The following is a 27,890-nucleotide window of genomic DNA, read 5'->3' as shown; positions in this document are numbered from 1 at the left end:
CAGTTTTAGCAAAGAACCCTGGCTAAGTCAGTTTAGCAAGGACCCCCCACCCTCATATCTGATCACACTCAATATCTGATTGGGTTCCTCCTCCTCCTCCACCCTTCCCAGGTGATGTCTGATCACATGGCCAGTACTCAATAAGAATCCTGTTAGGTTGGTTTGGCCAGAATTCCCCCTCATCCTTGAGGTTTCCTTTTAGTACTTTTCCATTCACTGACCTCATCCTACTCCTTGGCTATAGATTCGCACTTGCCAATGCTGTATTCAGAGTTGAGCCCAATCTCTCCGCCCTGCTGTCAGAACTCATTGCAGCGGTCCCTATAAAGTCTTCATTACCCTTCTTTAACAAGTGTCACTGAATGTTTTATTCCTTTAACAAGGCACAAATGTGAAAAAGGATACTGGGGATGACAGCTGCGCAAGAAACGGCAGAGATGACCATCCGTATGTGGCATGTCGAGAGACTGTTCCACTGGGGACATGATTTGTAAGAGATGATGGACTGTAGGAGCGTGTACACGACACCACAGACAAAGGCCAAAAGAGCGCCCCCGTCATGAACCACTGGCACAGCTAACTCCTGGAGAAAAAGTCATAAATGTGTGTTACTCTGGGTGGGTTTGTCAACATCGAACCGCAAGCACTCTCACTCTGGGCTGCTTTGAGCCATTGGTCATCACAGATGCACCACTTCTTGGAAAATGTGGCTGTTTGACTACCAAAAGAAAAGCCCTCCAGGTGCTGAAATTAATGCCAAAAAGTTGGTTGTTCCACAGCGAACCTGGGCTCATGGGACAAGGAAAGGAGGTCTGCCTTACAGGTGGGAGGGTTGAGTATGGTGGGCTTCAGAGTCTGGTACACCTGGATTAAAAGTCCTGACTCCACCATGAGGCTCTGTGACCTTACTGCAAAGCCTCGATTTCTGTATCTAAAAATGGGCATAATCATCTCAGTCTTGCATGTTTGCAGTGAAGATTATAGGATACATATCATATACAATTTTCTTTTTTTGTTGTTGTTGTTTTTGAGACAGAGTTTCACTCTTGCTGCCCAGGCTGGAGTGCAGTGACATGAACTCGGCTCACTGCAACCTCCGCCACCCAGGTTCAAGCAATTCTCCTGTCTCAGCTTCCCAAGTAGTTGGGATTACAGGCACGTGCCACCACGCCCGGCTAATTTTTGTATTTTTAGTAGAGACGGGGTTTCGCCATGTTGGCCAGGCTGGTCTCGAACTCCTGATCTCGTGATCCGTCCACCTCGGCCTCCCAAAGTGCTGGGATTACAGGCGTGAGCCACCGCACCCAACCCTGCCTTTTTTGTTACAGAAATTTTTGTTTGATGTCATCAATAAACTTCGGTATGATATGATTGAAAAAAAAAACCAAAGTACGTGACTCGTTCCATGATGGTGCCAAGGGTGGTTTGGGGTTTTTAGGCTCCCTGCTCCCTGATAATCTCTACTCATCCCTCCCAAGGCACCTCAAATGAACACACCATCTAAGTAAAACCACTGCTTTTGTTATGCAAATGCAGCTTCTTTTTTCTTCTTTTTTTTTTTTTTTTTTTGAGACAGGGTCTCACTCCGTCGCTTAGGTGGGAGTGCAGTGGCATGATCATAGCTCACTGCAGCCTTGAATTCCCAGGCTCAAGAGATCCTCCCAGCCCAGCAAGTAGCTGGGACTACAGGCACATGCCACCACACCCAGTTCTGGCTAATTTTTTTTGAAAGGCAGCTTCTAAACAAGTTCCCTGTCCCTGCCATCCTGTAACCAGCCATTTCAACCAGAAGGCAGCCCCTGTGCCAGTCTAGGCAGAAAGTTGGTGCAGACCCTGTACATACTACACACTCAAAATGCACCTCACCTTTGGCTCCCTTCTTTTCTTTTCTTTTCTTTTTTTTTTTTTTTTTTTGAGGCAGAGTCTTGCTCTGTCACCCAGGCTGGAGTGCAGTGATGAGATCTCAGCTCATTGCAACCTCCACCTGCCGGGTTCAAGCGATTCTCATGCCCCAGCCTCCCGAGTAGTTGGGATTACAGGCATGCACCACCACGCTGAGCTAATTTTTCTGTTTTCAGTAGAGACGGGGGTTTCTCCATGTTGGCCAGGCTGGTCTCGAACTTATGACCTCAGGTGATCCACCCACCTCAGCCTTCCAAAGTGCTCAGATTATAGGCATGAGCCACCACACCCAGCCTCAGCTCCTTTCAAATGTGCACTGGGCACAACCTTCCAGTCGAGGAACATTTAGATGGAACCACTGGGTCTTGACTTAAGCTTGAACATGCAAGCTTTGCAAAGGGCAAGTTAAAGTGTTGTCCAGGAGAGCCTGGTTTTGGCCACAGGCCACCCCTTGGCCTCAGCTCACGGTGAACACACTCTTCCCCCAGCTTCCCTCTGACCTGGGCTTCCCCAGCACCACAATATTTGCCATCCAGACAGTTCAACCTCAAGCTGGAGCACAAATGAATTGATATTAAATTTTCATTCACCACATAAGAAAGGGAGGTGCAGAAAAAAAAAAAGACCTTTTAACTTATTTCTAAGGAAATGTATTTCCTAGTATCAAACCTAGAAATAAGGGGAGAAATTGATTACATGATTGGTGTTATATTCAAATATGACTGCACTGACTCTGCAATACATCATATAGTTTCTGTATACCTAAGATACCTTGCATGGGCCAGGTACTGTGGCTCACGCCTGTAATCCCAGCACTTTGGGAGGCTGAGGCAGGTGGATTACAAGGTCAGGACTTTGAGACCAGCCTCGCCAACGTGGTGAAACCGCGTATCTACTAAAAATACAAAAACTAGCCAGGCGTGGTGGCGCGTGCCTGTAATCCCAGCTACCAGGGAGACTGAGGCAGGAGAATTACTGGACCCCAGGAGGTGGAGACTGCAGTAAGCCGAGATTGTGCCACTGAACTACATACAGTCTGGGAGACAGAGCGAGACTCCATCTCAAAAAATAAATAAATACATAAATAAATAAATAAATAAATAAATAAAATCAGATGGGCATGATGGTGTGTGCCTGTAGTCCCAGCTACTTCGGAGGCTGAGGTGGGAGAATCACTTGAGCTTGGGAGACCAAGGCTGCAGTGAGCTATGATAGCACCACTGCACTCTAGTCTGGGCAACAGAGTGAGACCTTGTCTCAAAAAATAAAATAAAAATAAATAAAAGACTGGGCACAGTGGCTTATGTCTGTAAACTCATCACTTTGGGAGGCCAAGGCAGGTGTATCACTTGAGCTCAGGAGTTCAAGACCAACCTGGGCAATGTGGTGAAACACTGTCTCTGCAAAAACTACAAAAATTTGCTGGGCATGATGGCATGAACCTGTAGTTTTAGCTACTCAGGAGGCTGAGGTGGGAGGACTGCTTGAGCTCACAAGGCAGAGATTGCAGTGAGCCATGATCACACCACTGCACTCCAGCCTGAGCAACAGATCAAGACCCTGTCTCAAAAAATAAAGGTAAAAATACAAATACAAATAAATAAATAAATAAGATTCCTAACATAGGCATATAGATTCAGGGAAGTTATATATGAAAAATAAAATACGACAGGGTATGGTGGCTTGTGTTTGTAATCCCAACATTTTGGGAGGTGGAGATGGGAGGATCACATGAGGCCAGGAGTTGAAGAACAGCCTCAGAAACATAGCAAGACCCCATCTCTACAAAAGTGAAAATAAGAATTAGCTGGGCATGGTGATGCACCCATAGTCTCAGCTACTCAAGAGACTGAGACAGGAGGAGTTCAAGGCTTAGTCTAAGCGTTCAAGGTTACAGTGAGCTATGATTGTGCTATTGCATTCCAGCTTAGGTGAAGGAGCGAGACCCTTTCTCAACCAATCAATCAAAAAAGCAGGGAAATGATGTTTAGATCAGACATGAATTTTCGATAAAGTTAAAACCCGGCACTCTTTCTGGATTGCTTTTTAGAAACTCTCTTGGTAATTTAAAAGGTAATAACAACAGAGAGGGAGAGAGAGAGAGAATAGTTTAATAAAGCTCTATCAGCCAGGCGCGGTGGCTCACGCCTGTAATCCCAGCACTTTGGGAGGCCGAGGCAGGTGGATCACGAGGTCAGGAGATCAAGACCATCCTGGCTAATGTGGTGAAACCCCATCTCTACTAAAAATACAAAAAATTAGCCGGGCGTGGTGGCGGGCGCCTGTAGTCCCAGCTACTTGGGAGGCTGAGGCAGGAGAATGGCGTGAACTCGGGAGGCAGAGCTTGTAGTGAGCCGAGATTGCGCCACTGCACTCCAGCCTGGGTGACAGAGCAAGACTCTGTCTCAAAAAAAAAAAAAAAAAAAAAAAAAAAAAAAACCCCTAAAGCTCTATCACTCAGCTTCAAAAAAAAAAAAAGAATATGTGAATACTGACAGAGTTAAACCTTGGAAAGTTTCTTTTCTAAAAAGGAAACTTTAAAAGTTTTTATTTTTAATTGACAAATAATAATTGTTTATAGGCTGGGCACGATGGCTCACACCTCTCAGCACTTCAGGAGGCCGAGGTGGGAGGATCACCTGAGGTCAGGAGTTCAAGACATGCCTGGCCAACATGGCGAAACGCCATCTCTACTAAAAAAAAATACAAAAATCAGCTGGGCATGGTGCCAGGTGCCTGTAATACCATCTGCTCGGGAGGCTGAAGCAGGGATAATTGCTTGAACCTGAGAGGCGGAGGTTGCAGTGAGCCAAGATCGCGCCACTGCACTGCAGCCTGGGCAACAGAGAGAGACTCTGTCTCAAAAAATAATAATAATTGTTCATATTTATGAGGCTTATAGGGGTGTGTGTGTGTGTGTGTGTGTGTGTGTGTGTGTGTATGTGTGTGTGTGTTTCCAGAGGCACGGTCTCCCTGTGTTGCCCTATGTTGCCCAGACTAGTCTCAAACTCCTGGGCTAAAGCATTCCTCCTGCCTTGGCTTCCCTAAGTGCTGGGATTACAGGTATGAGCCACCACACCTGGCTGTAGATGTTTTGATGTATGTTTACACTGTGGAATGATTAAATCAAGGTAATTAACATATCAATCACCTCACATACTTATTCATTTTTTTTGTGATGAGAACATTTAAAATCTACTGTTTTAGCAATTTTGAAATATACAATACACTATTATTAACTATAGTCACCATACTGTGCAGTAATAGATCTCCAGAATTATTAATTCAGTCTAACTGAAACTTGGTACCCTTTGACCAATACCTCCCCGCTCCTCATCTTCCTCTTCACTCCTGTAACACCATTCTACTCTCTCCTGTAAGTTTGATTTTCTTAGATTCCACATATAAGTGACAGCATTCGGTATTTGTCCCTCTGTGACTGGCTTATTTCACTTAGCATAAGGTCCTCCAGGTTCATCCATGTTGCCACAAATGACAGAATTTCAAAAAGAAAACTTTCTGAGGGAAAATAAAGTATTGACAGAAGTTAGTGAGGACACACCAAAAAGTAGCCATCTCACCCACCCATTTGGGAAAAAGATTATCTGTGAAATTCTCAAAAATGTGATTTATTGCAACTCAAGAAAAATCACCATGGCTGGGCACGGTGGCTCATGCCTGTAATCCCAGCACTTTGGGAGGCCAAGGCAGGCAGATCACTTGAGTTCAAGACCAGCCTGGCCAACATGGGGAAACCCTATCTCTACTAAAAATACAAAAATTAGCTGGACATGGTGGTGGGTGCTTGTAATCCCAGCTACTCGGGAGGCTGAGGCATGAGAATCACTTGAACCCGGGGCGGAGGTTGCAGTGAACCGAGATCGCGCCACTACACTCTAGCCTGGGCGACAGAGCAAGACTCTGTCTCTACAAAAAAAGAAAAAAAAAAAAGAGGCAGTCACACTCTCTCTTGCCCACACATCTCAAAATCATCTTGAGTTAGCTCAAGTTGGTTTGCTCCTGATATGACGAAAATGAATTACAGGATACCAAACAAGGAAGTTGTAAAGATACAGTTATCGGAACAATGACAAGTCAAACACTTTGCTCCTTGGGAAGTTAAGATTCTATTTCTGGTTTTTGTGGATTTAATCACATCATTGAAGACTTAAGGGGAACCAAAAGTTGAAATTATTTAACCATCTAAGTTTTCTTCTTAAAGTCAGCCCTTAAATGGTTTAAAAACTGACATCTGTATCTCTCATGATGTGGTTAGTCAGAGGATAAAGTGATATATCTATACTAGCCCCCATTAAACCATAACCACACTGTACTAGACAAATTATACCACTCTAGGTCTTCCTTTTTAAATTTTGTGTGTGTGTGCATCCTGATGGTAGAACTATGCATCGTGTACTTGGTTTTTTTGTCACAGATATATCTTCATGTTAGCATTGAGGATAGCTCTCACAGGCTCTAGGAAGATGACTTCAATTCAAAGCTCGCCTCTGCCATGCATTATTCAACTGATCTTAGGCAAGTATTAACCTCTCTAGGCCTCCATTTTACCATTGATAAATGGGGAAAATAATAGTGCCTATCTTACAAGGCTTTTATTATAATTGTATGGTTAAAATATGGAATATTTTCTTAAACATGTGTCACAGGAAAATTTCAATAAATGTTTGTTGTTATGAAAAACAAAATGCATACTGTCATAAAAATATAAAGAAATGTCACCGGGAGCCTCCTCTTTGAATACCAGAGGTTTAAATGGTAGAATTGGTAAACACATACAAATATTTTCACACTCTTAACAAAATCATCACAGTAGCTGAAGTAGCTCTCCCAACACATCAAACCACATCAATGACAACATGGAGCAATGCAAAGCCCAAGGCCTCCTCTGAATCACACACTCTCATAATCATGCAAATGTGCACCCCATTTCTCCCAAGTATCAGAACTCACTTTCAAATGCTTTTTTTTTTTTTTTTTGAGATAGAGTCTCGCTCTGTCAAGTGCAGTGGCACAATCTCGGCTCACTGCAACCTCCACCTTCCAGGTTCAAACAATTCTCCTGCCTCAGCTTCCTGAGTAGCTGGGATTACAGGCATGTGACGCCACACCTGGCTAATTTTGTATTTTTAGTAGAAATGAGGCTTCACCATGTTGGCCAGACTGGTCTTGAACTCCTGGTCTCATGATCCACCTCAGTTTCCCAAAGTGCTGGGATTACAGGTGTGAGCCACCACACCTGGCCCTGATTTCCAAATGTTAAAGGTTTCTAAAAAGCAAACTAACCCACTTATTGTAAACTCATCAAGCATTTAATGGCTATAATGGCATAAGTGTGCCTCTTGCATTTCTGCTGCTCTCTTCAGACACATACACTCCACCACTCCTCATAACTGAAAAAGCTCCAGATTATACCTGAAAATTGGCGACAATGCCCATTCCGAAACATCCCACCAATCCAAGCACTAAAGACACCAAGTTAAAAACAGGAGTGCTGAAATAGCAGGTTTGATTTTGCTTCTGTACTATTTTGTATCTTGTATACATCGTGGCTGCACCTGAAAAAGAAGAGAACTTTGATGAATGTTCATAATTTGATGTCTTTAGGATGAAAAACAGGAGCAGCTTTGTATCACTTTTTAAAAATGTACTGATTGCAAGTCTCCCCACTTTCCCACCCCTGTCCCTCCTGACTCCATCTTACTCTCTCCCCAGCATGTACAGACACACACACACACACACACACACACACACACACACACACACACACCCCTTGGCTGTTGTCCTTTTCATGTAAATGCTATTATAGTACATGTATTACTCTGTGACTTGCTTTTTCCATTTAACAGTGTACCATGGAGATCTTTTCAAGCAAGTACAAACAGATCTACTTCATTGTTTTCAGGGATCTTATCATGGTCTGTGGTATGAGATACTATATTTATTCCTCATTCTCCTAAGAATGAATTTCTACATTGTTTCCATGTTTTTCCTGCTACAAACAACACGCCATGAATATCCTTGTATATAAATCTTTGGGTTTCTGAAAGACCAGTTCCTAGAAGTAATATTACTGGGTCAAAAAACCATGCACAATTAGAAACACCTCCAAATTGCTCCAGCCCGTTGACGATTTAGACTCCCACCAGCAGAATTTGCGAGCAATTGTGTATGCCCTTGCCTTTTTAATTCTGTCAGTCTAATAAATGAAAATTCAACCTGTTGGGTTAGTTTGCATTTCTCTGATCATTAGCAAGATTTAGCAACTTTCAGTATATCTACTGGTCATTTGCATTTCTTCTTCTGAGAAATGCATGTTTACAATTTTCTTTTTATTCTTCTCTTGGGCTTGTCGATATCTAATTTGTAGTTACTTTTTACACATTATGTCCATTAGTCTATTATCTGCTATAAATATTACAAATTTTCTTCTGCTCTGCTATTTGTCTTTTAACATTGTATCTTGTATCTTACATCATTTGAAAGTTTTAATTTTTAATCTACTCATATCTATCAATTCTTCTGCGTTTTGTGTTTCTATTCCAAGGTTTAAAAAATATTCTCCTGTAATTTAATTATTGCATAGTTTTGCTTTTCATGTCTATTAAATTGCAATTGGTTTTTGTGTATGATGTGAGGAGGATAGTAAAGGTATGTTTTTCCAAATAGCTAGTCAATTAACCAAATACCATTTGTTGTAATTTGGCAATAAAATGTAGCCTCCATGAGAGCAGGGCTCTTGTCTGTTTTGTTGGCTGTTGTAAACTCAACACTAAGTCATAAACAAGCACAAACCCTATCATATAGTACATACTTAGTAAATGTTGAATAAATAAATAGCTACCATAATTTTAGATACATATTCCCTTTAACTCAGCAAATTTATCTTATAGAAAAACTCACACAAATATGCAAAGATATATTTAAAAGATGTTCACTTCAACATTAGAATTACAAAATACCAGAAATAGCCTAAATGTTGGACAATAGGGAACTGATTAAATAAATGATAATACATCCTTGTGAAAGATATCATGCATGTGTGGAAAGGATAAAGTAGATGTGTATATATTTACATAGTATGACGGCCATAATCTATTCCTGAATTTTTAAAAAGCAGGCTAAAAACTAATAACTTATCATAAATCTTTTTTTTTTTTTTTTTTTGTGGAGACAGGGACTTGCTCTGTCACCTGGGTGGGAGTGCAGCGGCACAGTCATGGTTCACTGCAGCCTTGACCTCCTGGGCTCAGGCAATTCTTCCACTTTATCCTTCCAAGTAGCTGGAACTACAGGCACACATCACCACACCCAGCTAACTTCTTTTTTCTTTCTTTCTTTCTTTTTTAACTTTTTGTAGAGATGAGATCTCACTACATTGCCCAGGCTGGTCTTGAACTCCTGGGCTCAACAGATCCTCCTGCTTCAGCCTCCCAAAATGCTAGAATTACAGGCATGAGCTCACATAGACTATTTCAAATGAATATATTTGTCAGTTTCTGCTTTATTCAGAAGCAAAAGCCGTATTTATCACTTGCTGTGATAAAATAATCTCTCTGTTTTCCAAGTCTGGATTCTTGGCAAGGATGGTGTAAGAGGGCACTGGGATTGACTGACTCCATATTGCTACTTCCCCTTGCTCACCTCCAAAACTTTAGGAGGACTACAAATGGTGATGCGGTGAAACTTTCCTGCTACCAAGTAGGATGAACAAATTCCAAAATGCCAAGTCACTAAGTAGGGTCAGCATCACTGTCCCTTCTCACACTGTACCAGTAGAGAGGAACAGAAAGCGTTGGTTACAAGATAGGCCCTTGGCAAACACTTGATTGTTTGGGGGGAGATTATAGAAGGACTAAGAGAAAATGCCCCACATCTGATATCTATATACTTGAATCACCTTATAGAAGACTGAGCTTTACATTAATTATACAATAGTTGTAATTAATATGCATTACATTAATTGGCTTATGACAAGGTTGCACCCTATCATCTGCATCTTAGGTACATCTGAGGAACTGAAAAGAAAAATCATACTATTCCTTGCTCCACCTGTCCCCTTTCTCTAACAGGTAAGATAATGCCTTTGTCAATGGTCCTCAAACTTTAGTGAGAAACCAAGTCCCCTAGAGTGCTTGTTTACAACACATCTTCAGGAACCCACACTCCCAAAGGTTCTGGTTGAGTAGCATGGCCCAGGAACCTGCATTTTACGAGAACTCCAGGTGACTTTTCATCAGCTTGCCTTCAGAATACACTTTGAGAAACTTAGCTTACGCATTGGGTGTCTTTGGCTTACATAAGTGTCTTGACCATAAATCAACACTTTTAAAAACTAAATTGCACTTAAAATCCGTTCCAGAAGTTTGGTATTTAAAACCACCTACAGCAAATCCTGTTACAAATTACTAATTAAAGTATAGTTCTCTAATAAAGCCATAATTTTTTATATCTTTTAACTTCAGTTTCTCAAAATAGGACAAAAATCTAGCTGCAAAGATTGTGCTTTTAAAAAAATTATACACAAGGCCGTGTGCAGTGGCTCACACCTATAAGTTCAGCACTTTGAGAGGCCAAGGCAGGTGGATCACTGAAGCCCGGGAGCTCAAGGCCAGCCTGGCAACATGGTGAAACCCCATCTCTACAAAAAACTACAAAAAATTAGCTGGGCGTGGTGGTGTGCACCTGTAGTACCAGCTACTCCGGAGGCTGAGGTGGGAGGACTGCTTGAGCCTGGCAGGTTGAGGCTGCAGTGAGCCGTGATCACGCCACTGCACTCCAGCCTGGATGACAGAGACCCTGTCTCAGAAAAAATAAATAAAATAAAATAAAAATTATATGAAAACTACAAATGACACATCAACTTCACTTGGAATTGTGAGCTTTTCAATTATTTATAATAATTATTGTGTACTTACCAAGAAATGCAGAGAAGTTTATCATAAATCCAAAAATACCACTCTCTGGAGGTGTTGTTCCCGTATCACTGGCAAAGGGAAGAAATGTCCAAATTATTAGAAAGAAATTCTGTCCAGACCTCTGGGAAGACACGTAATTGGCGAGTTTTATATTCTGTTTCTTTTAGGTGTTCAGCCACTTTGAATTCCAAAGATTTGGCCTGATTTTGTTCTAAAGTATTTTCATTTTGGCTCTGAAAAATCTAAAATTTATTTTTATACCATGAGAGATTCCATAGTAAAAAGCCAGAAAATGTTTAAAATGAATGGTGCTGCCATTTTTCAAATGATCGAACCCACTAACCTTGGTATGTGTTCCTTCTCAGTGAAGAATGACTACTTTGAAAAAGAAAAACAAAAACAAAAAAAAAAGATCTAAAATCATGTTTGAGGCCGGGTGCAGCGGCTCACACCTGTAATCCCAGCACTTTGGGAGGTGGAGGTGGGAGGATCACCTGAGGTCAGGAGTTCAAGACCAGCCTGGCCAACATGGTAAAACCCCCATCTCTACTAAAAATACAAAAATTAGCCTAGCATGGTGGCAGGTGCCTGTAGTCCCAACTACTTGGGAGGCTGAAGCAGGAAAATCTCTTGAACCAGGGAGGCGGAGGTTATGGTGAGCCGAGATCATGCCACTGCATTCGAGCCTGGGCAACAGAGCAAGACTCGGTCTCAAAAAAAAAATAAAAATAAATCGCGTTTGAAAATTCTAATATTGGCATGTTAAATACACATAAACACATCACTTTATTTTCTAATAATTGAGATTTTATTATCTGCTGAAAATATTATGATAAAAATCTGAGGCCGGTCACGGTGGCTCACGCCTGTAATCCCAGCACTTTGGGAGGCTGAGGCGGGCGGATCACCTGAGGTCAGAAGTTCGAGACCAGCCTGACCAACATGGAGAAGCCTCATCTCTACTAAAAATACAAAATTAGCCGGCCATGGTGGCACATGCCTGTAACCCCAGCTACTCAGGAGGCTGAGGCAGGAGAATCACTTGAACCCAGGAGGCGGAGGTTGCGGTGAGCCGAGATCACACCATTGCACTCCAGCCTAAGCAACAACAGTGAAACTCTGTCTCAAAAAAAAAAAAGAAAAAGAAAACTGAACAATATTATTGATCTCTAGGAATACTTTATGGAAATAATAGGGTATCTAGGGTATATTAATTGTGGTAAATTATTTTAACAAAAAAGGGTTTCTGTAAAACATTTTTCAGGTACAGTCTTTCAATTAATTAAATGAGTTGGAAAATACTGTTTGACATGTTCTTTTTTTTTATTTTTTAGAGACAGGGTTTTGCTATGTTACCCAGGCTGGTTTTGAAGTCCTGAGCTCAAGCAATCCTCTTGCCTCAACCTCCGAAAGTGCTGGGATTACAGGTGTAAGCCACCATGTCTGGCCAACATGTTCTATTTTCTATTAGTGCCAAGCTTTAATTTTTTTCATTTTCAGGCTGCTCACTTTAAAACTGATGGCAAAAGAGCTCCCAACATGAAACAACTTGAACTCATTTTGAGTGTTTCTACATTTGTAAACAGCTCTGAAATTTAAGTATTAAAAAACCGATCACGTTGAAAATGATGCACTTGTAAGTGTTTGAAGAATTCCACAAGGAGCCTGTGTGTGCAGAAAACAGGAATTTTTTAAGTTTTGCGAACACTTAGTATTTAAACTGGAGTATAAAGAAGTTAATAGGGCCGGGCACAGTGGCCCACGCCTGTAATCCCAGCACTTTCGGAGGTCGAGGCAGGTGGATCACCTGTGGTCAGGAGTTCGAGACCAGCCTGACCAACATGATGAAATCCCATCTCTACTAAAAAATACAAAAATTAGCTAAGCATGGTGGTGGGTGCCTGTAATCCCAGCTACTCAGGAGGCTGAGGCAGGAGAATCGCTTGAACCCAGGAGGCAGAGGTTGCAGTGAGCCAAGATTGCGCCATTGCACTCCAGCCTGGGCAACAGAGCAAGACTCCGTCTCAAAAAAAAGAAAAAGAAGTTAATAGCCTCCCTTACGACCAGGCGCGGTGGTTCACACCTGTAATCCCAGCACTACGGGAGCCCGAGGCAGGTGGATCACGAGGTCAGGAGTTCAAGACCAGCCTGGCCAACATGGTGAAACCCTGTCTCTACTAAACATATAAAAAATTAGCCAGGCGCGGTGGCAGACGCCGGTAATCCCAGCTAATCCGGAGGCTGAGGCAGGAGAATCGCTTGAACTCAGAGGGCGGAGGTTGCAGTGAGCCGAGATCGTGCCACTGTACTCCAGTCTGGGTGACAGAGTGAGACTCCTTCTCAAAAAAAAAAAAAAAAAAAAAATAGCCTCCCTTACAGCAAATGCCTTTATTCCAAATTAATTCAATTTCAATGTCACTGGTATTGCAAGAACCTGAAGGGTTTAGGATTTAGGCTGGGTATAGTGGCTCATGCCTGTAATTCCAGGACTTCTGTGGGCCGAGGCGGGAAGATCACTTGAGCTCAGGAGTTCGAGACCAGCCTGGCCAACATGGTGAAACCCTGTTTCTACTAAAAATACAAAAATTAACTGGGCATGGTACAGCGTGCCTGTAATCCAAGCTACTCGGGAGACTGAGGCAGGAGAATCACTTGAACCCAGGAGGTAGAGTTTGCAGTGAGCTGAGATCACGCCACTGCACTCCAGCCTGGGTAAAAAAAAAAAAAAAAAAAAAAAAAAAAAACCTGAAGGGTTTCGAATTTAGCATTACCACTTTTCCTACAATAACCATTTTTCACACTACAGGAATGTTGAGGTGGAGGATGCCCTTCTGAGCACAATGCTGAATGGGCAGAGAGACAGGAATGGGAACCAGTAATGGGGAAAAAAGCAGAGACAGCTCATAACCTTGGGCAGCACTTTTGCCACACAATTAACTCTGCCAGGGAAATCAGGCCTCCCTGCCTTGGCCTGAGGGTATAAAAAAGCAGGCACCAGGTGACTCATCCTAGAGTTCTTGTTACACAGGTCTGAGAATAATTCTGAACCTCAGACAGCCACATGCCAGGCATCGGAGCAAACACAGAGGAGAAGCGCTGGGAAGAAGGTTGTTTGCCTGTCTGTGGAGAAAGGGAAGGCAATGAAAGAATGAGGAGGATATTTAGGAAGATAGGGAGGTGGCGATATGAAGGTGCTCTAGGTGCTCTGACTGAAGAGAAGACCAGACCTGGGGACTCTGTCTATTGATGGCAAATTGAGACTATGTCAAAGGCCCAGGTGTGGAGTCCACATGACATCAAACACGTGATCTGAAAACTTGGAATTCCAGGGTCGTGTTCTATTCTTGCTTATCTGTACATTTAAAACCATACAGGTGGAGGCCAGGCACGGTAGCTCACACCTGTAATCCCAGCATTTTGGGAGGCCGAGGAGGATGGATCACTTGAGCTCAGGAGTTCGAAACCAGTCTGGGCAACATGGTGAAACCCTGTCTCTACAAAAAATACAAAAATTGGCCGGGTGTGGTAGCTCATGCCTGTAATCCCAGCACTTTGGGAGGCTGAGACGGGTGGATCACTTCGGGTTAGGAGTTCAAGACCAGCCTGGCCAACATGGTGAAACCCCATCTCTACTAAAATATAAAAATTAGCCAGGCATAGTGGTGCATGCCTGTAATCCCAGCTACTCAGGAGGCTGAGGCAGGAGAATCATTTGAACCTGGGAGGTGGAGGTTGCAGTGAGCCGAGATCATGCCATTGCACTCCAGCCTAGGCAATAGCATGAGACTCTGTCTCAAAAATTAAAAAATAAATAAAAAATAAAATAAATACAAAAAGCCAGGCATGGCGGCACCTACCTGTAGTCCCAGCTACTTGGGAGGCTAAGGTGGAAAGATCACTTGAGCCCAGTAGGCAGAGGTTGCAGTGAGCCAAGATCATGCCACTGCCCTCCAGCCTGGGTGACAGAGTGAGACCTTGTCTCAAAAATAAATTAATTAATTAATTTTAAAAAAAAACATACAGGTGAAGGGAAGCTCAGAATATTTGGGACTAAGATTAAAATAAATAAGTAAATAAATAAAACTATACAGGTGGAACCAAAAGCACTTTGCAAATAGCCATTGAATGAATATCAGTACTGGCCAAAAAAAAAAAAAAATTGACCTAATCAACACCACTTACTGAGCATTGACTATGTACCCACCAGGCACCATTAGGTGCTTACCATATATCAGTTCATTTCATCTTTACAACCCTGAGGGGGGTCTATATCAACCCCATTTTACAAAGTAGGAAATTGGGTATTAGAGAGGCTATATAACTTGTTCAAGATCACAGAGCTACACAGAGGATTCCCTATCCCAATACAGATGTTTAACTCCCTGACTTCCCAGCCTCTCCTCTGCTTTAACAGCAGACAAGGAACTAAGCCATTAGGAGAATGATTGGGGGCGGGGAGCAAACACTAATATAGATGCTGGTCAGTGTTTAACAGCCAGCTCTGGAGGGTGCCTGGTTTGTGGCATTTGCCAACTTCCATGGTGAAAATACTCTCAACACGTTAAAATTCAGGCTACCAAAAGAACCAAAACAAAAAAACGAAATAAATAAATAAAAACAAAATTTGGGCTACCAAACGGCAGGTCACTGAACGTGGAGTTGGAAGAGAGGCACACAGTCCCTGCTCAGGAGCAGACACCAGCTAGCTCCAGCACACCACGGGAATGAACCAGCATGGTGATGAGAAGACATCATTATGCCTTTGTTGTAGACCAGAAAGATGTAAACTAGGCAAGATCTTAGAAACTCCTCAAATGCTATAATTGTAAAACCTTTCTGCCAAATACTGCCATGGTAAATCTGATTATTTTTCAGGATGACTGAGGCTATAACACCCACCATCAATGCCTGAATATCAATGGCCCACATTCCTACACCTTTGCACTGCAACAGTACAATACAACAGTGTTGACACAACAAAAATTCATAACCAGTTGTTTGATTAAACACCCATCTTTTCAAAGTTTTTTTCTTTTAACTCCACAGATAGCTATAGAATTTACTCATTCATCAGCAAAATATTTGTTAGATACAATCTGAGTCACAAATTCCCAAATCTATCAGATAACAATTATCAATTTGTGATTTATTTACACTAAGTGTAGAATTCAAAGAGGTGAGGAAATAAAAAATACATAAAAATAATTTTAAAAAAATTCCACTAAGTGACAAAGCAGTACCAATTTACATTAGCTGAAATTTTGCTCAAGAATAGTTCATGAAAACTTTCCAAGAGGCAAATGAAAATGTGAACGTTTCAAAACTTTTAAGAACAATAGTGTTTGCCCATTACCATTTTAAAGATGAAAGAAGGCTGGGCGCACATTAGCTCACACCTGTAGTAATCCCAGCACTCTGAGAGGCCGAGGCAGGTGGATCACTTGAGGTTAGGGGCTCGAGACCAGCCTGGCCAACATGGTGAAACCCTATCTCTACTAAAAATACAAAAAAAAAAAAAAAAAAAAAAATTAGCCTGGCATGGTGGTGGGTGCCTGTAATCCCAGCTACTCAGGAGGCTGAGGCATAAGAATCTCTTGAACCCAGGAGGTGGAGGTTGCAGTGAGCCGAGATCGCACCACTGCATACCAGCCTGGGCGACACAGCAAGACTCTGTCTCAAAAAAAAAAATAAAAAATAAAATAAAAATGAAATAGCTCTTACCTCTCAATGAAAAATGTTCTTATGTCTTTCCACGTCTGATTTTATATATTAAGTAAATATTTTTTACTTTTGTTGGTTTGTTTTTTGCTTTTTTGGACAGCATACATAAGTAAATATTAAGTCACATATTCTGGTGATACTGGAATCCAGATAAGTAAACACTAAGAGGTAACCAAGAGACCCTGTGGGTAACCTCTTTTTATTTATTTATTTTTTTTAAGCTCAAGCTAAATGATTCCATCATGCAAGGGCAGAGGTAGTAGTATTTGGGTGGCCTAACTGTGCCTGGGTGCCTGATTCAGTACACTGGAGAATGAGTGAGAGGCAAAACCAGTTGCTTCCCAGCCTGGCAGCAGTAGTCTCTCTACCCAGCTCCTACCACATCATTCTGCACCACACAGTTTCTGCAGTGCAGTGGGCCCTGCCCAGCTCCACCCACCACCTGATTTGCCTCCTTGCTAATAAGGCACTTTCTGGAAACTGTAAAGAGGACAAGGCCAGCAAATTGTTCATTTGCCTGTGGTTCAGAAGCTGTTGAGGCTGTTATGTATACACAGTTATTTTAGGGGTAGGTTGTGCCTAGGAAATCCGTTTATGTCCACATTTCCTGTATTTACATTTCTGCAAGTTAAGCAGACTGTGGAAAATTCCAAGTCGTTTGTGTAACATCCTACTTCAAACTAATTTATGATGTTAAGCTAGTGAATAATCACTTGATACTGAAAGGAATGAAAACGATACAAAGAAAACATGCTGGATAATAGAAGACTTTCTGAAGCTTGGTCAAACTTTGTTCTTTAAGTTACTGGATACACAGGATTTAAATATTCCAAAGCCTAGAATTATGGTTTATTGGAGGAACTTAGATGCTAACAAAATGCAACATCATGTGTGTCTCCAGCCTGAAATTTATTAGATTGTTCCAAACTCATACACTAATTGCTTGGATGATTGATAGGGACTTAGAATCTAAAAAAAACATAATTCCCCAGTATAAAGAGAACATCATTTCCTTTATCTTTATAATATTTAAATATATTATTTAAAAGGGATAAGTACGGAATAAAAAGTCATACTACATTTTATTAGCTACTTTTAGTTACGAGAGCTAACTTTCTGGCAGCTTCACTTGGTGATGACTGTTTTAGAATGTGGGGGGCAGGCCGGGCGCGGTGGCTCACGCCTGTAATCCCAGCACTTTGGGAGGCCGAGGCGGGCGGATCACAAGGTCAAGAGATCGAGACCATCCTGGCCAACATGGTGAAACCCCGTCTCTATTAAAAGTATAAAAATTAGCTGGGCGTGGTGGCGGGCGCCTGTAGTCCCAGCTACTCGGAAGGCTGAGGCAGGAGAATCGCTTGAACCCGGGAAGTGGAGGTTGCAGTGAGCTGAGATCACGCCATTGCACTCCAGCCTGGGTGACAGAGCAAGACGCCGACTCAAAAAAAAAAAAAAAAAAATAGAATGGCGGGGGCACCCTTCAGCTATATCAACTATTCTGAAACTTAAAAAGAATTTCCTACTGACAAATACAAATACCTTGCTCTTTTCTCACTACCCACAAGCAATTTTGCCCTCTCTCCATCAGAGTTCCCTCTTGTTCACACATACAACATGTTTTTAAAGGATGTTTTGAAAAGACTGTAGAGAGGCAATTGTGGACCAGGGAGACCGTAAGGAAGCTATTTTAGCAGTTTGTCCAGAGTGCTTAGCCCAGTATGGTGATAAAGAGGGAGATGAACGTGGTTTGATTTGGAAAGTTATTTGAGGGGAATCTCTAGAAACCATCCCCACATGGACTCCAGTGGCTACAAGGACCAAAAAAAATAGGGCCGGGCTCGGTGGTTCTCACCTGTCATCCCAGCACTTTGGGAGGCCAAGGCAGGCAGATCACCTGAGGTCAGGAGTTTGATAGCAGCCTGGGCAACATGGTGAAACCCTGTCTCTACTAAAAAATACAAAAATTAGCCAGGCGTGGTGGCACATACCTGTAATCCCAGCTACTCGGGTGGCTGAGGCAGGAGAATCGCTTGAACCCAGGAGGCAGAGGTTACAGTGAGCCAAGATCGTGCCACTGCACTCCAGCCTGGCCGACAGAGTGAGGCTTCATCTCAAAAAATAAATAAAAATCAAAAAAGAAAAAAGAAAAAGAAAAAATTAGAAATGAACACTTCCTTGGCAACTACATTCCGCCAGGCACATCTTACTTGATCTTCACAACATTAGAAAGTACTCATTACTGGCATCTTTTTTTTTTTTTTTTTTTTTTGAGACAGAGTCTAACTCTTGTCATCCAGGCTGGAGTGTAGTGGCACGATCTCGGCTCACTGCAACCTCTGCCTCACAGGTTTAAGCAATTCTCGTGCCTCAGCCTCCCAAGTAGCTGGGATTACAGGCACCCACCACCATGCATGGCTAATTTTTGTATTTTTAGTAGAGATGGGGTTTCATCATGTTGGCCAGGCTGGTCTCAAACTCCTGACCTCAAGTGATCCACCTGCCTTGGCTTCCCAAAATGTGGGGATTACAGGCGTAAGCCACCACGTCCTGCTCACTATTGCCATCTTAAAGATGAGGAAACGGTCTTAGAAAACTAACTTGATCACAGAGTAAACAAGGAAGCCAAGCTGTGCATCTAGAACTCTCCAATTTCCTTTTTTCCTGCCTTCTTTTCCTTCCTTCCTTCCTTCCTTTCCTTCCTTCCTTTCCTTCCTTACTTCCTTCCTTCTTCTCTTCTCATCTCGTCTCATCTCGTCTCTTTTCTTGTCTGAGTGGAGGTTTAATAGGGAAAAGAAAGAGAAAGGAAAACAGCTCTCTCACGAGAGGGGACTTCCAAGAGGAAAGAACCCTAGAACTCTCTAATTTCAATGGAAACAATTTAGGAACTCTTCTCTGCTGTGCTATATTACATTTCTTTAAAGTTGTTATCATTTTCATGTGAGTTTACATGTTGTACATTTCAATCAGGGGTATATCAGCTATTTCTTCTGGAGCCAGCTATGGTGTCCTTGGCTCACAACAACTCTTCAATGCATGTTCTTGATGGAATGAAAGGCAATTACTGTGACGTAAAGAGGACTATGAAACTTTTTTTTAATTGAGATTGAGGCCAGGCACAGTGGCTCACACTTGTAATCCCAGCATTATGTGAGGCTGAGGTGGGAGGATCTCTTGAGCCCAGGAGTTCAAGACCAGCCCAGGCAATACAGTGAGATCCCGTCTCTACAAAAACACAAAATTAGCCAAGCATGGTGACATGTTCCTGTAGTCCTAGCTACTTGGGAGGCTGAGGTAGGAGGATCACTTGAGCCCGGAAGGCAGACGCTGCAGTGAGCTGAGATCATGCCACTGCAATCCAGTCTGGGCAACAGAGTGAGACCCTGTCCCCTGACCAAAAAAAAAAAAAAAAAAAAAAAAAAAAAATTGAGATGTTTGAAAGTCATCAGCCCTGCATCAGTCAAGACTTTTGAGCAATACTCTAATGCCCTTTTAAAAGGAAAAATAGAAGAAAAATATTCATAATTTTACTTAATTCACTGAGAACAAAAGAATTTGTTGTACCCAAATGACAGGGAAAATTCAAATCAGAGGAGAAATTATATATTTACAGTAGACTCAGGCTGAACAACACTCCATCCATCACCCTCAGTTAATTTTGGGGCTGCAAAAGTTTGGGATCTTCACTTTTCTTACTATGCTTTTCTTAGAATTAACTAATTTCATGTGTTTGTGAAATCAATATTCAATTATAAATGATCATCTCAAAAATAATACTTTTCGGCCAGGCACAGTGGCTCATGCCTGTAATCCTAGCACTTCGGGAGGCTGAGGTGGGTGGATCGCCTGAGGTCAAGAGTTCGAGACCAGCCTAACCAACATGGTAAAACCCCGTCTCTACTAAAAAATACAAAAATTAGCCAGGCATGGTGGCGGACGCCTGTAATCCCAGCTACTCGGGAGGCTGAGTCAGGAGAATCACTTGAACCCAGGAGGAGGAGGCTGCAGTGAGCTGAGATCACACCATTGCACACCAGCCTGGGCAACAGAGCAAAAACTCTGTCTCAAAACAATAATAATAATAATACTTTTCTAGCTAAAGGTTTTAAATGGCATGCCTACCTTTTCATCTTTGTGACACTGTAGATTAGAAATACTACGAGGTTATAATCACTGCACTGTAAAAACTGATATGTCATTAACATCATGTCAGAATACGTGATTTTATGCACACAGCCCTCATTAACTGAGTATTTTTTATCCTGGTACTCATTGTTACGGCTGAACAGGAAAGCCAACATCACCACTGCCTGAAATTCTGTGTAGTCTCAGTAATCAAAAAAGTTGGTTTAAGCAAAAGTCATCAAAAATTAGGGCCAGGCACAGTGGCTCATGCCTGTAATCTCAGGACTTTGGGAGGCCAAGGCAGGCAGATCACTTGAGGTCAGGAGTTCGAGACCAGCCTGGCCAACATGGTGAAACCCCCGTCTCTACTAAAAAAACAAAAACAAAAAATTAGCTGTGCATGGTGGCACGTGCCTGTAGTCCCAGCTACTCAGGGGGTTGAGGCCAGAGAATCACTTGAGCCCAGGAGGCAGAGGTTGCAGCGAACCGAGATTGCAACACTGCACTCCAGCCTGGGTGACAGAGTGAGACTTCGTCTCAAAAAAAAAAGAAAAAGAAAAAAGTCTTCAGAACTTGTATGAATGAATACATACCACAAACATTTTATTTTAACTTAAAGTGTATCAATGTGTATTCATTTGCCCACCTGTGGATGTAGACCAAAGCCGTTACAAGAGTATGGGTCCACTATGTCTTCTTGGCATATAAATCGCATCTACTCTGAATCATCTCATTTCCAATTTTGGTTTCTTTAAAGTGGAGGGAAGTCTTAAAAACACTTTTGAAGCAATTTGAATTCAGACTCCTTCCAGTTTTCCTTATACCAGTTTCCTAAATCTTTACAGCTGTCAGATAATTACCAAAAAGGCTACAAATTTTTTTCGGACAATTTGTCTCTTTTTAATCTTTCCAAAGCATTTAACCAATTTTTTTTTTTTTTTTGAAACGGAGTTTCACTCTTGTCGCCCAGGCTGGAGTGCAATGGCACAATCTCAGCTCACAGCAACATCTGCCTCCCAGGTTCGAGTGACTCTCCTGCCTCAGCCTCCCGAGTAGCTGGGATTACAAGTGTGTGCCACCATGCCCGGCTAATTTTGTATTTTTAATAGAGAAGGGGTTTCACCATGTTGGCCAGGCTGGTATTGAACTCCTGACCTCAAGTGATCCGCCCACCTCAGCCTCCCAAAGCACTGGGATTCCAGGCATGAGCCACTGCATCCGGCCCAACCAAATTTTTTTAGAAATTACAATTCTCTTTTTGCCTACACAGATCAACAGTTAATATGTATTGCATTAAGTCACACAGTTACAATACAAAATACAACTGGCATGAACATAAATACAATTTGGGAATAAACACAATTGGCATTTGATGAGAATACAAAGACATGGGTAAGAGAAGCAAGTACCTACAGAGTGGCCCTCACAGGAGGGAGTTTTCAGAGGCCATTGGCTTCAGTCAGTGCATTTTTCAAAGAACAAATTCATCAGTTAACCCAGCAAGTTGATTAAGTTGAGGCTACTGAATAAAAGAGCTTCTGATATTACATTCACATATAAAGCGATCACTTCTAAAATTAGCTCCCAACCAAACATCCTTTCCTATCCAGCCCAATGTGGACTGGCCCCTTGATAATACTAATAGCAAGTGCTTCTACATACTATGTTCCTCCACCAGGGTGTTAATGAGTTTTCTGTGAGTTCATGTTAATAATGAAGTACGTGCAATTATTAACCAATAGAGAAGCAGAGAGAAGTCAAGTAACCTGTCCAAAGTTCTACAGCTGGAACACATAATGGAGCCATACCCTAATCCAGGCTGTCTGTTCCAAAGCTGTTGCTCTTAATCATGCTATGTTCCCTCTCAGTATTATTATTAAATATTGTAAATAGTCAACAATGCAAGTCAAATCGACCACAAACTGGGACCGCAAATCTTCTGAAACACAAGGATTTCATCTCTAACTGTGCTGGAAAACAGAACTGCAACCAAAGTCAATGAACAATGAGGTGCTGGCAGAATCAGTTAACAATTAAAGAGGAGGAAACTAACAAGGTTAATGAAACAGGACCATATGACACAAATTATCTTGTTCAACATTCAACCAATATTTACCAAGTGCCTGCAATGTGTCAGGCTCTATCACAAATGCTGTGGACAAACCCCAAATCTCTATCCTCATGGAGCATATATTTTGTGTGAGACAGGTAATAAACAAGATCAATATCCTTACATATAGATTAAGAATGGCCACTGGGAGGCCGGACGCGGTGGCTCACACCTGTAATCCCAGCACTTTTTGAGGCCGAGGTGGGCAGATCACTTGAGGCCAGGAGTTCGAGACCAGCCTGGCCAACATAGTGAAACCCTGTCTCTACTAAAAATAAAAAAAATTAGGTGGGCATGGTGGCGGGCACCTGTAGTCCTGGCTACTCAGGAGGCTGAGACAGGAGAATCACTTGAACTGGGAGGCAGAGGCTGCAGTGAGCTGAGATCATGCCACTGCTCTCCAGCCTGGGTGACAGAGCAAAACTCTGTCAAAAAAAAAAAAAAAAAAAAAAGTCCAGTGGGAAAATTGGAGTCTTCAGACATTTTTGCAAAAATGAACCTCTTCCTATCCCCCTTCAAAAGCTTAATGTGGTTCATGGGAAACCTGGTGTTAAACCATTCACAGACAACCTGCTTCTGGGGCAGGGTTTCGTAGTAGCAGAGCAGCTCCCTCCCTCGATTTGAGCTACTGAAAGTCAGCGCTTGACACAAGGGTTTATCAAAAACAAACAAAAAGAGAAGAAGGAAACTTTCTTTAAAGTTAAATGTGAAATGAAAGACTTACTATAATATAATCATAAAATTGTATTGGAAAAAGAATGCAAGGCTGGGTGTGGTGGCTCACGCCTGTTATCCCAGCACTTTGGGAGGCCAAGGCGGGAGTTCAAGACCAGCCTGACCAACATAGAGAAACCCCGTGTCTACTAAAAATACAAAATTAGCCGGGCGTGGTGGCACATGCCTCTAATCACAGCTACTCGGGAGGATGAGGTGGGAGAATCGCTTGAACCAGGTGGCAGGAGGTTGCAGTGGGCCAAGATTGCGCCATTGCACTCCAGCCTGGGCAACAAAAGTGAAACTCCATCTCAAAAAAAAAAAAAAAAACATTTTCTCTATAAAGATCAGCATCTGAAGATTTAACACACACTTGTCATAACCCAAAATTTGTGATTGTTACATAAATGCAAGTTAAAATCGTTATTTTCCTAATTTTTAGTATCATTTTTGAAGTTAAAGACCTGACCAAACTTCTTTTACTTCATTTACTCTGCAATTTTGTTCCTCCTTTTAAAGTGGCTTGATTCTAGGTGACCCAGTTTTCTGTCATCAACTACTGAGCAGAGATTATGGGGTCATGAGGTAGGACAATATGGGTGGCCAAAGGCCACAATCTATCCCACAAAACTGTATTCACATGGAAAGTGAGACGTGCTAATAAAGAGAAAAGCCAGGATCTAGAATCGGCAACACTGAAGAGTAAAGGATCACAGAATATCATGAGCAAGATATCATGGCAGGAGACACATGCCAAAAAGAAGATGGAAGACAGTGATCTATCAGCTGGAAAAAGTTAATAATTTGATAAGAAACTATAACAAGTTAAGCATGATTTGGCTTGAGAATGTGGGTGTGGCCGTGTGCAAATCTTTTTTTTTTTTTTTTTTTTTTGAGACAGGGTATCACTCTGTCACCCAAGCTGGAGTGATCACTGCAGCCTCAGACTGCAGGCTCAAGTGATCCTCCCACTCAGGCTCCTGAGTAAGTGGGACTGTAGGTGCATCCTACCACGCTCAGCTAATTTTTTGTATGTATTGTAGAGACAGGGTTGCACCATATTGCCCATGGCTGGTCTCAAACACCCGGACTCAAGTGATCAGCCCACTTCAGCCTCCCAAAGTGCTGGGATTACAGGCATAAGGCACCACACCCGAGTGCAAATCTAAACTAATTTTTTGAGATTAGCTTTTATTTGTCCTTCCTTTTGATATGCTTTTGTTAATGGTTTCAGAATAAGAAATATCACTTTATGCTATTCTAACTTGTTATATCTCACGGTGGTTGGTCCCATGTTTTTATTTTGTATTTATTTATTTTTTTTTTTTTTGAGAAAGAGTCTCGCTCTATCACCAGGCTGGAGTGCAGTGGCACAATCTCGGTCCACTGCAACCTCCACCTCCGGGTTCAAGCGATTCTTCTGCCTCAGCCTCCTGAGTAGCTGGGACTACAGGCACATGCCACCATGCCCAGCTAATTTTTGTATTTTTAGTAGAGATAGGGTTTCACAATGTTGGCCAGAATGGTTGCGATCTCTTGACCTCGTGATCCGCCTGCTTTGGCCTCCCAAAGTGCTGGGATTACAGGCGTGAGTGAGCCACTGCGCCCGGCCTCATGTTTTTAATTTAATTTTCTGATAGGAAACATTCATGCGGGGCGCAGTGGCTCACGCCTGTAATCCCAGCACTTTGGGAGGCCGAGGTGGGCGGATCATGAAGTCAGGAGATCGAGACCACCCTGGCTAACATGGTGAAACCCCGTCTCTACTAAAAATACAAAAAAATTAGCCAGGTGTGGTGGCACGTGCCTGTAATCCCAGCTATCAGGAGGCTGAGGCAGGAGAATCGCTTGAACCCGGGAGGCGGAGGTTGTGGTGAGCCGAGATCGTGCCATTGTACTCCAGCCTGGGCAACAAGAGTGAAACTCCATCTCAAAAAAAAAAAAAAAAACCTATTTGGGTAAAAAATAAAACAAAAAAGTATGCCTTATAATTATCCTTTTTCCCCATCTGCCAATGTCTCACTGACCTTGACCTACTCCTCCCTCCATCACACACAGATAAACCACTTTCATTAGTTTCTTTATGCAAGCTAATGCAAATATATATTATTTTTCTCCTCTTTTTTCTTAACTAACGAGAGCATAGGTTGTTCTGCATCTTGCTTTTTCCCATGTAACAATGTATCTTGGAGATTTTTCCATATAAGTGTATTGACGTAAAAATCTGCTAGGTACAGAGAGCTTTCACTTGAAGTATCCTTTAATAAATAAACCATATTTATTTAGGCAATTCTCTACTGATAGTCATTTGTAGTTTCCAATCTTTTGTTATTCAAAGCAATGCCCTGAGTAACTCTGCAGAAATGCCATTCTTCACATGGGCATGTACACCTATAGGATAAATTTCAAAAAAAAAAAAAAAAAAAAAGGCTGTTGCATCAAATGATGGGGGGGTGTGTGTGTATCTGTCATTTCCATAGATATTGCCCAAGTCCCACCATGGAGACTGAAATCAATTCACGTTCCTGTAAGCAATGTATGAGAGAGACTGTTTCCCCATATTCTCACCAGTACTAGTATCAAACATTTGGGTTTCTGCTAACCCACTAGATCACAACTGGCATCAGTGAGTTTTAATTTGAATATTTATTCCTATTCATAAAGTTGAGTATCTTTTCATGTGTATAAGAGCCATTTGCCAATTTATCCAATATGCTGAAGAATAACAATGTTACAAGGAGAAAGTATCTGATAAGGAAGCTGATTCTAAATGCCATACTGGGGAGAGGTCCTCCTTATGGTTGTGGCTCTTATTTAAAGTGTTCAACTGTGCTAAAAACATTAGACCATCAGGGGCCGGGCGCGGTGGCTCACGCCTGTAATCCCAGCACTTTGGGAGGCTGAGGCGGGCGGATCACAAGGTCAGGAGATCGAGACCATCCTGACTAACATGGTGAAACCCCGTCTCTACTAAAAAAATACAAAAAATTAGCCGGGAGGGGTGGCGGGCGCCTGTAGTCCCAGCTACTCGGGAGGCTGAGGCAGGAAAATGGCGTGAACCCGGGAGGCGGAGCTTGCAGTGAGCCGAGATCGCGCCACTGCACTCCAGCCTGGGAAACTCCGTCTCAAAAAAAAAAAAAAAAAAAAAAAAAAAAATTAGACCATCAGAATGACTGAACAATGTTAGAATGTAAAAGGAAACTCATCCTAAGGACTTTCAAATCACTGACTAGCCACCAAACAGAATGGCCATGTCAAGCTTTTCCTTAAGGGATCTGCCCTGTCCTGGGGTAAAGAGTGAGTACCCAAGAAATAGTCATTCAGAAATATTCATTCAGCAAATATTGAGAGCTTTCATGGACCTTACAATCCAGTGAAGGGAGACAGAAAATAAACATAATAAATAAGTTAAATCACATGATTTGTTAGAAGGTGATACGTGCTGTGGTGAATAATAAGACTGGATATGGAGACCAGTAGTGGTCAGGTGCAATTTTTAAAAAGGGTGATCAGGGCAGGTCTCATCAAGATGATAACATTTGAACAAAGGAGGTAAGTGAAAAACTCTGCAGGAAGGTAACGTTTGAACAAAAGAGGTAAGTGAAAAATAGCTGCAGGGAGAACACCTGGCAGAGGGAACAGCCACTGCAAAGGTCTTGAGAAGGACGGGTGCTTGATGTGTTTAAGACACAAGGCCAGCGTGGTTGAAGGGAAGTACAAAGAGTAGGGGTAGAGGAGAGGAGGAGGTGATGAGCTAAGAGATACCTTCAGCCTGGCATGGGGGTGCACACTTTTAATCTCAAGTACTCAGTAGGCTGAGGTCAGGGGATTGCTTGAGCCATGGAGTTCGAGACCAGCCTGGGCAACATAGCAAGACCCCACCTCCAAAAAAAACACAACAAAAAGGGATAAGGTTGAATATTTCAAGGCCAGTAGATAAATGTAGAGTTATCACTTCTCTATGTCTGGTTCTTTCATTTTTTTGAGAAAGAGTCTCACTCAGTCACCCAGACTGGAGTGCAGTGGCACAGTCTCGGTTCACGGCAACCTCTGCCTCCCTGGTTCAAGCGATTCTCATGCCTCAGCCTCCTGAGTAGCTGGGATCACAGGAATGTGCCACCACGCTCAGCTAATTTTATATATTTTTAGTAGAGACTGCACCCAGCCTTCTTCTCTATGTGTGGTTCTTATCCACATCTTGTTGCTGCACCAAGGACTTGTTTTCTAGGAGCGGGCAGGGGCAATCCAGTGCTCCGGCTGCTCAGGTAAGCAGAGAGCAAACAACCTAAAAGACCCAGGCACACATGGGCAATCAGTACAAATGTTTGTTGTGTGTTGGCTGAGAACTCCTGGCAACAAGGGGGCATGCCTTTTTCTCCTGTAAT

At 42.3% G+C, this 27,890-nt stretch overlaps 1 protein-coding gene across 4 annotated transcripts in view, besides 1 other annotated feature; it reads right to left on the bottom strand.

Moving 5' to 3' along the window:
- DRAM1 (DNA damage regulated autophagy modulator 1) overlaps nucleotides 1-27,890 on the bottom strand; it is a 46,033-nt gene that overhangs the window by 14,844 nt on the left and 3,299 nt on the right. For 2 of the 4 annotated variants that reach the window (NM_018370.3, XM_005269004.3), the window contains exons 2-4: nucleotides 10,839-10,906; nucleotides 7,336-7,478; nucleotides 406-583 (exon numbers count right to left, since the gene is read on the bottom strand). In NM_018370.3, coding sequence (NP_060840.2) covers nucleotides 406-583; nucleotides 7,336-7,478; nucleotides 10,839-10,906 — 389 coding nt within the window. Of the gene's footprint in view, nucleotides 1-405; nucleotides 584-7,335; nucleotides 7,479-10,838; nucleotides 10,907-18,547; nucleotides 18,581-27,890 lie in introns of those variants that run through there. The other 2 variants (XM_047429098.1, XM_005269005.3) reach the window with 2 other exon arrangements.
- Nucleotides 9,177-9,346: an enhancer, noted in NCBI's record as "experimental_22782 CRE fragment used in MPRA reporter constructs". NCBI's record gives its function as "activates a minimal promoter by MPRAs in K562 erythroleukemia cells, with activity observed for both the introgressed and non-introgressed 12:102293286 variant alleles {active_cell/tissue: K562}" and the evidence as "EXISTENCE:reporter gene assay evidence [ECO:0000049][PMID:34662402]".

The sequence above is a fragment of the Homo sapiens genome, chromosome 12, assembly GCF_000001405.40.
Source record: "Homo sapiens chromosome 12, GRCh38.p14 Primary Assembly".
NCBI classification, from domain to species: Eukaryota; Metazoa; Chordata; class Mammalia; order Primates; family Hominidae; genus Homo; species Homo sapiens.
The sequence above is the reverse complement of the archived record's forward strand: the minus strand, read 5'-3'. Positions and strand labels throughout refer to the sequence as shown.